The following is a 13,477-nucleotide window of genomic DNA, read 5'->3' on the forward strand; positions in this document are numbered from 1 at the left end:
CTAGCTACTCTCTCCCTCTTCAGCCAATGGCACTGCCACAGTTTCACTATATCCTGCCCACTGGCATCCTCTCTCTCCCACAGACACCAACATACCAGGGGCTTCCCTCCTCAGGGTTTGCAGATGCTACTTCCTTTTCCTAAAATACTGCTGAAGAAATAAATAATATTAAACATAAAGGTAATAAACACTTAATACTCATCACTTCCTAATTATTTTCTGTATTTTATTATTATCCGTGCTCTTAAATTATATTTAATATATCTACCTAGTGAAAAATACTATACAATGTATTACAATACTATACAGCTTATTTATTTATTTATTGAAACTTAGTCTCGCTCTGTCACCCAGGCTGGGGTGCAGTGGCATGATCTTGGCTCACTGCAGCCTCCACCTTCTGGGTTCAAGTGATTCTTGTGCCTCAGCCTCCTGAGTAGCTGGTATTACAGGGGTGTACTATCACTCCCAGTTAATTTTTGTATTTTTAGTAGAGACGGGGTTTCTCCATTTTGGCAAGGCTGGTCTCAAACTCCTGGACTCAAGTGATCCACCCGCCTGGGTCTCCCAAAGTGCTGGGATTACAGGCGTGAGCCACTGCGCCTGGCCTATAGAGTTTATATACTATACAATGTACAGTGCCTCTCTTCCAAATTTGCCTTCAGTGATCTCTTCTTGGCAGCTTGAAATCAGCTATTGCAGAAATACTTGCACCATGGAAATTGGCAAACACTACAAATCAGGGCTTTCCTGGGGGTAGGGGAGTTTAGGGAGCCCAGCTGTTAAACACTTGCCAGTATACTGCTGCCTATAATAAAACTTTTGTGTTTCCTTTCAATTATTTATATAATTGCAATATATATAACTGCAATATAATTAATGCAGTTACAAAATAATTTCCACATCATAATGCTAAATTCTTTTAATATGTTTTCTCGTTTAGTCACATAATAACTCTACAAAGTGAGTATAGTAATTCCATTATATAAGCAAGGAAACAGGTGCAGAGAGATTAACATAATTAGGCTGGTACGCAGCAGAGGTATCACTTGGAAATATGTTTGACTGGCCAGGCACAGTGGCTCACGCCTGTAATCCCAGCACTTTGGGAGGCAGAGGTGGGCAGATCACCTGAGGTCAGGAGTTTGAGACCAGCCTGGCCAACATGGTAAAATTCCATCCCTACTAAAAATACAAGTTAGCCGGGCATGGTGGTGCATGCCTGTAGTTCCAGCTATTTCAGAGGCTGAGGCATGAGAATTGCTGGAACCTGGGAGGTGGAGGTTGCAATAAGCCAAGATAGTGCCACTACACTCCAGCCAGGGTGATAGAGCAAGACTCTGTCTCAAAAAAAAAAAAAAAAAAATAGTAAAAAGCTTGACTCCAAAGCTCATGCTCTCTCTCTATACTAAACAATATGGAAACTATTTTAGGAAGTATTTCTTTTTGTTTGTGTGTAACTGGGGAAACAAGGGATCTCCCAGGAATTTGGGCATTCTATGAAGGAGGGAACTGTTAGGGTTGAAGGGAAAGGCAGGGAGAATTCAGAGACGTTTTATAGCCTTGGTGTCATAACGAAGCAAAATTATCTACCTACTACATCACTGATGTCAGGGAAATTGAATGAATTACCACAATGCTGTATTCATTTGTAATTTTTGAATGACAATGTTTATGTTAGTAACCAATAGGTAATGAGTCTGGTCTATTAAGAAAGACCTGGTGGTAGCATTTTTTGCCTATATGAACTCTCCTGGAGGTAATACTTTTTCTTGCTAGAATGTTTCTGAGTAAGTGTGAACAAAGAAAATCTCTGGCCTGAAGAGATCAGGCCTGTGTATGATAGACAAGGACAAAATCTGAAAGTGAACTCAGCTATCTGTTAAAGTCATTCTAATTCCCTCAACTCACTTGTAACATCTCGCCTAATGGCTTTGCTGCTTATTCTCTAATAGCTACCTGATAGAATTGTGGTGTTCTGAATTAACAAGGCATGAGGGAATTCTAGCTGTAAGGCTTTCTGGTAAATTTTTTCACGTGTCTCAGACTTTGGAAACTGGCCCAGTTCTAATGAACTATATTGATTAGAAAAATATCGATTAGAATTCTATCGATTAGAACTCTATCATTTAGAACAATGATTCTCAGATTTTGGTGTGCCTAAGAAACACTCTGGGAGCTTGCTAAAAGTGTCAATTTCTAGACTCACATCCAGAAAGTCTAATTTTGTTTGCCTGGATTGGGGCTCAGGTGTCTTCATTTTAAAACACATTTCCCCCAGGTAATTCTAATGCAACTTGTACAGGAACCAGAGGCTGAGAACACTCATCTAGACTGAAGCATGTTTTGTGGTGGGTGTGGTGTTAGGGGTTTTTCTTGCTGCAGCTAGTCTGGAAGACACACAAAAAAGAACGTAGTTCTGCCTATTAAGCAGGTTGGGGCTGGGCATGGTAGCTCATGCCTGTAATCCCAGCATTTTGGGAGGCTGAGGTGGGTGGATTGCTTGAGCCCAGGAGTTCAAGAGCAGCCTGGGCAACATGGTGAAACCCCGTCTCTACAAAAAATACAAAAATTAGCTGGGTGTGGTAGTGTGCACCTGTAGTTCCAGCTACTTGGAAGGCTGAGGTGGGAGGATAGCTTGAGCCCGAAAGGTCAAGCTGTAGTGAGCTGTGATCATGTCATTGCACATTCCAGCCTGGGTGATAGAGCAAGACTCCGCCTAAAAACAAAAACAAAAACAAAAACAAAGCAGCAAAGAAGGTTGGGTGGCCTTGAGGTCTGACCTAGAATCTAAGCCCTAGATAAAGATGGAGGTTCAAGTTGGCCTAAGCACTACCAGACTTTTTGGAAAAATTGCAGCCAGCAATGAGTTCTTGGGCCCTCCTTCCTAGAATTGCATTTGCGCCTTAAAAATTTTGGTAACAACTTGACTAGTTAATCATCTGAGGGAGTAAAAAATTTTGGTGTTACCTTCTCTGGGGCACTGACTTCTGCATCCTATGCTCTGTGAGCCCCATCCTGGGATATGGTCTCAGCTCTTGGATGTTGATATGTTTAATGACATATAGGGCTATATTGAGGAAAAATAATACCTACTCTGGCAAATTGTTATAAGGATTAAATGGGATAATACAGAAAATAACTAGCTGAGGATCTGGCATATAATGAGTCCTTAGGAAGGTGAGGGATCTGCCTGTAGTATCTATCCACCTTAAGGGTCTCCACAGTAAATCTGTGAATTTGGTTCATAGGGGCCATGCCCTCCTTTTCTATCAGGGTTCTGTAAACATCCCTCTTCAAGCTAGAAGGGGTTTGAAAAGGACAGACAGGAGAAGCTTGCTCTTTGTTCAACAGCGTACGAGGAAGAGGTGCTCAATACGTTGTTTTTTTCTTTCTTCTATGTATCATTTTAAAATCTCCACTTTTCCGTTCTTCGCTAGCCCTTTCATCAGCCATTTTTTTTCTCTCTCAATCTCTGTGTACACACACATACACACATACCCACACCACGTACACATTTTAAGGCCTCCCATGACCCAGAGACCAAAGCCAGGGTTCCAATCTTTAAAGTCCATTCCTGGGGTGCTCTAGACTTTGCTTCTCTTCTCCCATGGTCTCATATTTCAATTTATTCCTTCTCCTTGATTAAAGTTTAGAGCAGTTCCCTTAATCTGCTTACTCTTTATATGTTTTAAAAAGGCCCTTTTCCAAGTTGTTGCACAAGAAGAAACCTTCATTTTCTGCTTAAAAAAATTTTTTTTTGTTTTTCTTTTTTTTTTAGAGATAGGGTTCTTCCTATGTTGACCAGGCTGGTCTCGAACTCCTAGCCTCAAGTGATCTTCCCATCTCGGTCTCCCAAAGTGTTGGGATTACAGGTGTGAGCCACTGCGCCTGGCCAAAAAAATTTTGTTTTTAGTATTTATTTTTTAGAGACAGGACCTTGCTCTGTCACCCAGGCTGGAGTGCATGGCACGATCATGACTTACTGTAGCCTTGAACTCCTGGGCAGACACAATCCTCCCACCTCAGTCTCCCAAAGTTAGGGTTACAGGGTTGAGCCACTGAGCCTAGCCTGAAACTTTCATCTTCAACACACTCCTGGTCTCTCCCATCTTTCCTATTAGTTTTCCTAGCTAAAAGCAGAGTTCTGACAGCTTTTCCTGGCCCTATGCTGAACACACATAAAATTTCCTCAATTTTGTGCAAGGCTCTGATGTGTGATTCAATAAATTACTTGCCATTCTTAACAATACCTTACTGTTTGTTTCTCTTCAGCGAATGTTCTTTCACCCAAAGCCTACTGAAACCTGACAATGTGTTAAACACTGTGCTAGACATTGTGGATATAAAATGAATAAAGCACTATTTTTTATTTGTCAATTATACCTCAATAAAGCTCTTTCCGCCTAGGAGGAGTTCATTGTCTGGAAAGCAAAGGCAGATATGTAAACATATATATTATAGTTCAGAGTGCTAAGTATCACACTGTGATGTGAAGAAAAACTAATTTCTTCTGGGGAAGTTGATAAAAGATCTCATAGGAAGTGACATTTTCATTGGTCTTGAACCATAAGTAGGAGTTTGCCAACCAGAGCACAGGGGTGAGAGTGAGGGCAGGGGTAAAATAGGGCTTCCAAGGGAAGGGAATCCAGTGTGCAGAGGCTCTGAAATGACCGACGAAGATTCTGACGTGTTTAGGGAAGTCTGCTGGGTTTGATGTGGTTTGGTGCATGGCGGAGTGATGGTGGGAGGTGCAAAGAGATGAAATTGAGAGGGCCCAGTTGAAGCAGGAGGATTGAACTTTATTCTAGAGGCAATAAGAGAAAGAGAAAACTGTTTAAGCAGGGGAGGAAACGATCAGGTTTGTCTCTTACTTGTTCGTTTCGTTACAGACTTCCGGGTTTTGGAAACTGAGGTGCTCCGCTTGCTTCATCAGAACAGCTCGGGTAGCCTCTGAGCTGAAACACGGCTTTTTTTTTTCCAGGTCTAGAAACGGCATGTTTTCAATATACCCAAGGCTACTAAGTTTGATCCCAGTGCCCATTTGTGCTAATGACGTTGGCCAGGGACGCCAATTTACTACCCTGACCCTGTCCTTCAAATATTGTCTCTCTCTCCTTGGCTAGGGTTGGACATGTTCTGACACCTTTCGTCTCTTTGAACCCCATTTTTCCGTTCTGATAATCTTTTTCTTCAGTTATGCTGACCATGTCTTTAAATACATTGCTAACGTTTTAGCTCATCCCACCCTACGTTTTAATCCCTCAGATGCAGACATCGCGGACAGCCACGCCCACTCAAGAAATTTCCGAAACAGAAAGTTTGTCTGCAACAGCGCGCCGTACTGACGTAGCAGTGCGCAGGCGCAGTCCCGGCTCCTGGCGGCGTGTTCCTCTTTTCCTCGGTTCCCAGTGTTCTGGCAGGTAAGGAACGCCGGCTCTTCGCCTCTCAGCGCGGCTTGTCCTTTGTTCCGGACGCCCGCTCCTCAGCCCTGCGGCTCCTGGGGTCGCTGCTGCATCCCGCACGCCTCCACCGGCTGCAGACCCATGGCCGAGCGCGGGGAACTCGACTTGACCGGCGCCAAACAGAACACAGGAGTGTGGCTAGTCAAGGTAATGTTCGCGAGTCTCCCACTTGCGCTCCTCCTAACACAAGTATAGTTTAAGTAACTTGAGCCTATCCCGCTCCGTGCGCCTCTTAAAGTTCTTTTACGGCTATCTCGTTAGAGCTTCACACATTTTGAGAGGCAGGAGTCATTGTTGTATCTGTTTGCAGACGAGGAATTAGTTTAGGGACGCAAAGTGTCTTTCAGCCAGTTACTACTCTGAATCTGCCTGGACTAGATCTCTTTCTCACGGCTTTCCTGGAATCTTGTCTTGGTGTCCCCAGATTTGGACGGTGCATTTTATCCCAGACTGAAGAATTCCTTGTATCTTCCCTTGGTGAAACTGGTTTTAGCCATGAGCCTGCGTGAGGTAGTTGAATGTCTACTTTCTGTACAGTTTTCTCGGCCAGAAAGTAGGACTGGTCCCTGCCTACTCTTAAAAGTGTTCTCTTAGGTTGATGGTCCTTAATGAAGCTCTCAAAAGAGGCGAGAGAGCCCCAAACTCACAGAAGGAGAGGTCATTGGACTGGAGTATTCTTTTAGAGCACATTTGGGTCTCGTGAAACTGGCCGTCAATAAACGTTTTATGTGAAGACAGCAATTTTGGTTAGCTCACAGTAAGCACTATTTGTGCTTTATTGTTTCATATTGGGGAGTGTTTTCTCCTAGGGGAGTTTCATAATACTTAAGCATATTCAAAATGTGATCCTGAAAGTCGTTGAAACTTAAAATGTAAGGACTTTTGGTTTCTTAATGCTTTAACTGTTTTATCACATGGCTGAGTTCTCGTCAATTAAATCTAAGAGGTCTTTCTTGTCGGCCTTCCTAAAACAGCCCCCTTGTGATCATTTGCTAACACGACAGATGTGTATTACATTCTTCAAAGCACTTTTCACAGTGTAGAGTGATTTTGTGTTCATATGTTCAAAGTTGGTTACCTCTGTCTTTCCAACACACAGAATCACATTCCATGAGAACAGGATCTTTGCCTGTCATACCCAGAATAGTGTTTGGCGCATGGTAATTACTCAACAAATAGATGATGAATAAATGCATGACCTCTCATTCTTCAGCCCTCGCCTTAGTCTGTGGCACTCATTTGACTTATTTCCAAACTCAGTGTGACTTAAAAGGATGGATTAAATAGGCATTTCTCTCTCCAGCAGCATGTTACTTGGGGGGAGAGTCACTAAGGAGGAGATTGCCCTTACGGACTGAAGGAAAAAGCTTGAAAAAATGGTGTGACTTGAGATGGTGCCATTGTCCTAGGAGCATGGTAAATGCTCAATGTTTGTCTTACAGGATTTGGATGGGTGGACACAGTGTATACCATGGGGAATGGAACAGAAATGCAAGACTCAAAATATATAATCAGCATGGCGTGTTGTGGAAAACAGAGAGAACCTAGAGCAGAAGATCTGTGTAGATGAAGATGGGGACCATATACTCAGATTGTCATATCATGAAACGGAGATATTCTAACTTTAGTTTACAAGGAAGTAACGAACTTTTTGGAGGATTTGAGTGAGGTAGAGATGCCAGATATTTATTCAGGAAAAAAAAAAATGTTTGGCAGTGTGCAGTACGAATTAGAGGGGAGGGTAACCAGAGTCACAATTAGAAAATTATCACAGGATCGGGCTGGGCATGGTGGCTCACGCCTGTAATCTCAGCACTTTGGGAGGCCGAGGTGGGTGGATCATGAGGTCAAGAGTTCGAGACCAGCCTGGCCAATATGGTGAAACCCCATCTCTACTAAAAATACAAAAATCAGCCAGTCATGGTGGTGTGCGCCTGTAGTCCCAGCTACTTGGGAGGCTGAGGCAGAAGAATCACTTGAAACCGGGAGACGGAGGTTGCAGTGAGCCGAGATTGCTCCGTTGCACTCCAGCCTGGGCAACAGAGCAAAAATTCCTTCTCAAAAAAATAAATAAATTAAAAAAAAGTGTAATTTGTTGCTTAGAAAGTGTATCTTCATTCTCATCTAATCAGAATTTGAATTGAAGTACATATTGATTTCAAGTTTTTTCTCCTTACATTAATTTTCCTATTAAAAATAATACCTTGAGTTCTGATCTTTGTTGCTAAATAATGTTTCTTCCTAGGATATCTCACGGTTTATAGATCATCTTGTACATATTTAATTCCATCACTAGACAGGTATAGAACTGTGTAAATACAGTAAGAACTATACATACAAGATCTCTGAGAGTTTTGAGCGGGAAAAAAATTAGTGCTTCACCAGAACTGGGAAGACATCATAAAGAAGGTGACGTTTAAGAAAAGCCTATTTGGAGGTTGCAGTGAGTCAAGATTGTGCCACTGCATGCACTCCTGCCTGGGCGACAGAGTGACATCCTGTCTCAAAAAAAAAAAATGGATGTGAGTGTGATCTGTCTGGGACATCTGTCACCCCATTGATTACTAGGGTTGATTTGGCTAATCTGGCTGGCTAGGCGGGTGTCTCCTTCCTCCCACACTGCTCCATGTATGTCCCTCCCGAAGCTGCACGCTTGACCAAAGAGGATGACCATCCGGATAGAGGAGGACTGGTCTTCAGTCAAGGGTATATGTATGGTTGTACTCCCCTGCTAGAACCTCCAAAGAAGCTTTCAAGAAGAGCTTATGGCAGGCCGGGTGCAGTGGCTGATGTCTGTAATCCCAGCACTTTGGGAGGACGAGGTGGGCGAATTGCTTGAGCCCAGGAATTTGAGACCAGCCTGGGCAATATAGCAAAACCCTTTATCTACAAAAACTATAAAAAGTTAGCTGGGCGTGGTGGTGTACGCTTGTAGTCCCAGCTACTTGAGAGGCTGAGGTGGGAGGATCACTTGAGCCTAGGAGGTTGAGGCTGCAGTGAGCTGAGATCACACCCCTTGTACTCCAGGCTGGGCTACAGAGTGAAACCCTATCTAAAAAGAAAAAAAAAAAAACAACCAAAACCTACGGGCAGGACTGGGGATAAATAGTGTGTTTAGGGAAAAACAAATATAGTAGTAGATTGTTTACCAAAATAACAAAATATCCAGGACCTGTACTGTTCTGGCCTAATGAAGTGCTATTTCTGGAATTTTGAATTTTTTTTTTTTTTTTTTTGGCTGAGCACAGGGGACTTTATTGATGGCACATGACAAGGCAGGGCTCCCTAGGCCCCTCCCTCTTCAGGGGGTCTGCATGGAAGCTGTGAGGAGGGGAGAGTCTTAGTGTGGTTGGGGACTGAGTATGGCAGGGACTCCCCAGCATTGAGGGTCTCTCTCTTCCTCTTGTTCTGTCACTGGGGCTGGTGGTCCAGGGGTCTTACTCCTTAGAGGCCATGTGGGCCATGAGGTCCCCCACCCTGTTGCTGTAGCCAAATTCATTGTCTTACCAGGAAATGAACTTGACAAAGTGGTCGTTGAGGGCAATGCCAGCCCCAGCATCTAAGGTGGCGCGATCTCGGCTCACTGCAAGCTCCACCTCGTGGGTTCAAGCGATTCTCCTGCCTCAGCCTCCCGAGTAGCTGGGACTATAGGTGCCTGCTACCACGCCCGGCTAATTTTTTGTATTTTTAGTAGAGACGGGGTTTCACCGTGTTAGCCAGGATGGTCTCGATCTCCTGACCTTGTGATCCACCCGCCTCTGCCTCCCAAAGTGCTGGGATTACAGGCGTGAGCCACTGCACCTGGCCTCCCCACTGGCCTTTTTAAAAAATTATTTTTGCGGCCAGGCATGGTGGCTCATGCCTGTAATCGCAGCACTTTGGGAGGCCGAGGCGGGTGGATCACCTGAGGTTGGGAGTTGGAGACCAGCCTGACCACCATGCCCAGCTAATTTTTGTATTTTTAGTAGAGATGGGGTTTATTTTGTTTGTTTGTTTGTTTTTGTTTTTGAGATGGAGTCTCACCCGGTCACCCAGGCTGGTGTGCAATGGCACAATCTCAGCGCACTGTAACCTTTGCCTCCTGGGTTCAAGCTATTCTCCTGCCTCAGCCTCCCGAATAGCTGGGATTACAGGTGTGTGCCACCACACCCACCTAATTTTTTGTATCTTTAGTAGAGATGGGGTTTCACCATGTTGGCCAGGATGGTCTTGAACAGCTGACCTCGTGATCTGCCTGCCTTGGCCTCCCAAAGTGCTGGGATTACAGGCATGAGCCACTGTGCCCAGCCAAGACAGGGTTTCACCATGTTGGCCAAGGTGGTCTTGAACTCCTGATTTCAAGTGATCCACCCACCTTGGCCTCCCAAAGTGCTGGGATTATAGATGTGAGCCACCCTTCCCGGCTAGCTTTCATTTTTTCACAGACAGGCAAGCGCTTGGACATTGGTGGCCAAAGAGAAAGTTATATACAAGGGAGAGATGAAACTGGAATGGGTGATACCCTAAAGCCTTGCAGATAGTAGGAGAAAAAGGAACTTAACATTTCTTGTGTAGCGAGTATTTTGCAAAGCAAACCGGTAAAGTAGGTATTAATTACCTGTATTTTTCAGATGATAAAATTTAAGGTTAGGGAGGTTAATTATCTTGCCTAAGCATGGAAATAGTGATTCAAATTTGTTAGGCTAAAAGCTTTGCCATAGAAATTTTTTTTCCCCTTTGCGTCTCTCTGTTTTTTTTTGTTTTTGTTTTTGTTTTTGTTTTTTTGAGACGGAGTGTCGCTCTTTTGCCAGGCTGGAGTGCAGTGGCGCAATCTTGGCTCACTGCAACCTCCACCTTCCAGGTTCAAGCGATTCTCCTGCCTCAGCCTCCCGAGTAGCTGGGGCTACAGGCGCGGGCCACCACACCCAGCTAATTTTTGTATTTTTAGTAGAGACGGGGTTTCACTGTGTTGGCCAGGATGGTCTCAATCTCTTGACCTCGTTCGTGATCTGCCCGTCTCGGCCTTCCAAAGTACTGGGATTACCGGTGTGAGCCACTGTGCCCAGCCCCCTTTGTGTCTCTTTAATGGGTTATCTCCCTAGAGATTCAGAGGTGAGGTGGGGACTTCATTTTTATGTCTTTGGTCTTGTCAGTTCTGTATCTTGAAGTTCAAGGAAACATGGGAATAAATGCTGCATGTCATAGATTGGGTTCCCTGAGCAGCTGATTTTGAGATGGAGACAGGGATTTATTAGTGAGTACTCTTGGGATCAGCATGTATGGAAGGAAAAGGATTTAAGCAAGATTGGGTAGAGCATGTAAGGCAGTCTCAGTGAAAAGCCAGGATGATTCCACAGGAGCCCTCCAGAGCTGTCCTCCTGTCCCAGCCAGTCAGTGGATATGGTTTGCCCCAGTAAGTGGGCGTGACCTTGAGCAAGGGGTCTTTCTTTAGTGGAGGCAATTTCAAAGAGGCCTAATAGCTGAGGGCTGTCTGCTGGCCACACTCTCAGCAGCTGTGGGAATAATGCCCTCAGTGCTGAAGGGGGAATCTGGGTGTCACATCATGATGTCCACTTCAGTGCTTTTAATTTTCTGGGAGAAACAGGGCTTTAGAGGCTAGCAGTTGGGGAACTAGATATTTGATGAAGCAAAGTTGGCAAAGAAGCACCTTGGCTTCAAAGGGAAGAACGACTTTTTTTTTTTTTTTTTTTTTTTTGAGATGGAGTTTCGTTCTGTTGCCCAGTCTGGAGTGCAATGGTGTGATCTTGGCTCACTGCAAGCTCCGCCTCCCGGCTTCAAGCGATTCTCCTGCCTCAGCCTCCTGAGTAGCTGGGATTACAGGCGTGCACCACGACTCCTGGCTAATTTTTGTATTTTTAGTAGAGACGGGGTTTCACCATGTTAGCCAGGATGGTCTCAAACTCCTGACCTCGTGATCCCCCTGCCTTGGCCTCCCAAACTGCTGGGATTACAGGCGTAAGCCACTGTGCCCAGCGACAAGAACCACTTTCTTATGCTGCCCAGTTTGAGTGAATGGGTGGGCAGATTGATTCATCCCACAAGCTTTCAGTGATTGCTAGGCTCTAAGTATGTTACAGTGAACAAAACGGACATGGTATATATACTGTGTAAACTACGACTTATAGCCCAGTATAGGAGACAGACATCAGTCAAATATTGGTCTTAACGAAAACAATTATTTTCAGAGAAGGACACTGAAGCAAGGAATATTGTTTCTGTGCATGTGAATAGCAAGGGACTTGTCCTGGTCTAGGAAGTCAAGGGAGGTTTCCTTGAGGAAATAATGCTGTAGTGAGTTATTTTCTGTCACTTTCTCTGGTATTGGGAAATCTAAGCAACCATACCCTGTTGTACTTATTACCTTGTCTCCATCTGATTTTCAGTAATGAGTGAGATAGTGGAAATAACACAGATACATCGTAAGTGATATGTTGACAGTGGTGTTTTGGAGCCTTGAAACCATATATACTGTCATTTTTTTCTTCCTCTCCCTCCCTCTTTTGAGACTTAATAGGCCGGGACTTCTGGGAAGCCAATTTCTGTAAGTTCGTGGTGTAGAGAGTTATATATAATTAATGTGCTATTATTATTATTTTTTATTGCAAGGGTGTAGTATTTTAGGAACCTTTGAATTAAATAAGCTGGTGGGCTTACCTGGGAATCTACAGTTTTATTATAATAATGAAGACAGTGCAATATGAGCTGCAAACTTGTTTTTGTCCATTAACTTATGGAGCACAATCTGCTTTTTTTTTTGGTCTTTCTTTTTGAGACAGGGTCTCACTCTGTCTCCCAGGCTGGAGTGAAGTGCTGTGAATTCGGCTCACTGCAACCTCTGCCTCCTGGGCTGCAGTGATCCTCCTGCCTCAGCCTCCTGAGTAGCTGGGACTATAGGCATGTGTCACCACGCCCAACTAATTTTTTTTTTTTTTTTTGTAGAGACAGGGTTTCACCATGTTGCCCAGGCTGATCTCAAATTCCTGGACTCAAGCAGTCTACCCACGTTGGCCTTCCAAAGTGCTAGAGTGTTGGGATTATGGCATGAGCCACCACCCCTGGCCTTGTTTTTTTTTGGAGACGGAATCTTGCTCTTGTCGCCCAGGCTGGGCGTGCAGTAGCACGATCTTGGCTCACTACAACCTCCGCCTCCTGGGTTCAAGTGATTCTCCTGTCTCAGTCTCCCGAGTAGCTGGGATTACAGGCGCCTGCCACCACGCCCAGCTAATTTTTGTATTTTTGGTAGAGACGGGGTTTCGCCATGTTGGCCAGGGTGGACTCGAACTCCTGACCTTGTGATCTGCCCGCCTCAGCCTCCCAAAGTGCTAGGATTACAGGCATGAGCCACTGTGCCTGGCACCCCGGCCTTTTTTTTTTTTTTTTTTTTTTTTTTTTTTTCTTTTTTTTTGAGACGGGTCTTGCTCTGTCACCCAGGCCGGAGTGCAGTGGCGCGATCTCGACTCACTGCAAGCTCTGCCTCCCGGATTCACGCCATTCTTCTGCCTCAGCCTCCCGAGTAGCTGAGACTACAGGTGCCCGCCACCATGCCCGGCTAATTTTTTGTATTTTTAGTAGAGATGGGGTTTCACCATGTTAGCTAGGATGGTCTTGATCTCCTGACCTCGTGATCCGCCTGCCTCAGCCTTCCAAAGTGCTGGGATTACAGGTGTGAGCCACTGTGCCCGGCCTCCCCCCTGGCCTTTTTAAAAAATTATTTTTGCGGCCGGGCACAGTGGCTCACGCCTGTAATTGCAGCACTTTGGGAGGCCGAGGCGGGCAGATCACGAGGTCAGGAGTTCGAGACCAGCCTGACCAATATGGTGAAACCCCATCTCTACTAAAAATACAAAAATTAGCTGGGCATGGTGGCGGGCGTCTATAATCCCAACTACTCGGGAGGCTGAGGCAAGAGAATCACTTGCACCTGGGGGGCGGAGGTTGCAGTGAGCCAAGATCATGCCATTGCACTCCAGCCTGGGTGACACAGTGAGACTCCGTCTCAAAAAAATAAAATT

The 13,477-nt window shown here is 44.8% G+C and overlaps 1 protein-coding gene and 1 pseudogene across 3 annotated transcripts in view, besides 4 other annotated features; both read left to right on the forward strand.

Annotated features, from left to right (window-relative positions):
- Window positions 5,031–5,674: an enhancer, noted in NCBI's record as "H3K27ac hESC enhancer chr13:45694275-45694918 (GRCh37/hg19 assembly coordinates)". NCBI's record gives its function as "activates a minimal SCP1, AML or CMV promoter by ChIP-STARR-seq in primed H9 embryonic stem cells {active_cell/tissue: H9 hESC(primed)}" and the evidence as "EXISTENCE:reporter gene assay evidence [ECO:0000049][PMID:30033119]".
- Window positions 5,401–13,477, forward strand: part of GTF2F2 (general transcription factor IIF subunit 2) — a 164,384-nt gene continuing 156,307 nt past the window's right edge. For all 3 annotated transcript variants that reach the window (XM_011535052.4, NM_004128.3, XM_011535053.4), the window contains exon 1: window positions 5,401–5,612. In XM_011535052.4, the coding sequence (XP_011533354.1) occupies window positions 5,547–5,612 (66 nt within the window). In that variant the 5' untranslated portion in view covers window positions 5,401–5,546. The remainder of the gene's footprint in view (window positions 5,613–13,477) is intronic.
- Window positions 5,435–5,564: an enhancer, noted in NCBI's record as "active region_7678". NCBI's record gives its function as "activates an Ori minimal core promoter by ATAC-STARR-seq in GM12878 lymphoblastoid cells {active_cell/tissue: GM12878}" and the evidence as "EXISTENCE:reporter gene assay evidence [ECO:0000049][PMID:35858748]".
- Window positions 5,675–6,316: an enhancer, noted in NCBI's record as "H3K27ac hESC enhancer chr13:45694919-45695560 (GRCh37/hg19 assembly coordinates)". NCBI's record gives its function as "activates a minimal SCP1, AML or CMV promoter by ChIP-STARR-seq in primed H9 embryonic stem cells {active_cell/tissue: H9 hESC(primed)}" and the evidence as "EXISTENCE:reporter gene assay evidence [ECO:0000049][PMID:30033119]".
- On the forward strand, window positions 7,984–8,305 carry RN7SKP4 (RN7SK pseudogene 4; annotated as a pseudogene).
- Window positions 8,629–8,822: a silencer, noted in NCBI's record as "fragment chr13:45697873-45698066 (GRCh37/hg19 assembly coordinates)". NCBI's record gives its function as "represses an EF-1alpha promoter that drives an FKBP-Casp9 reporter gene in an ReSE screen in K562 erythroleukemia cells {active_cell/tissue: K562}" and the evidence as "EXISTENCE:reporter gene assay evidence [ECO:0000049][PMID:32094911]".

The sequence above is a fragment of the Homo sapiens genome, chromosome 13 (genome assembly GCF_000001405.40).
Source record: "Homo sapiens chromosome 13, GRCh38.p14 Primary Assembly".
Taxonomy (NCBI): domain Eukaryota; kingdom Metazoa; phylum Chordata; class Mammalia; order Primates; family Hominidae; genus Homo; species Homo sapiens.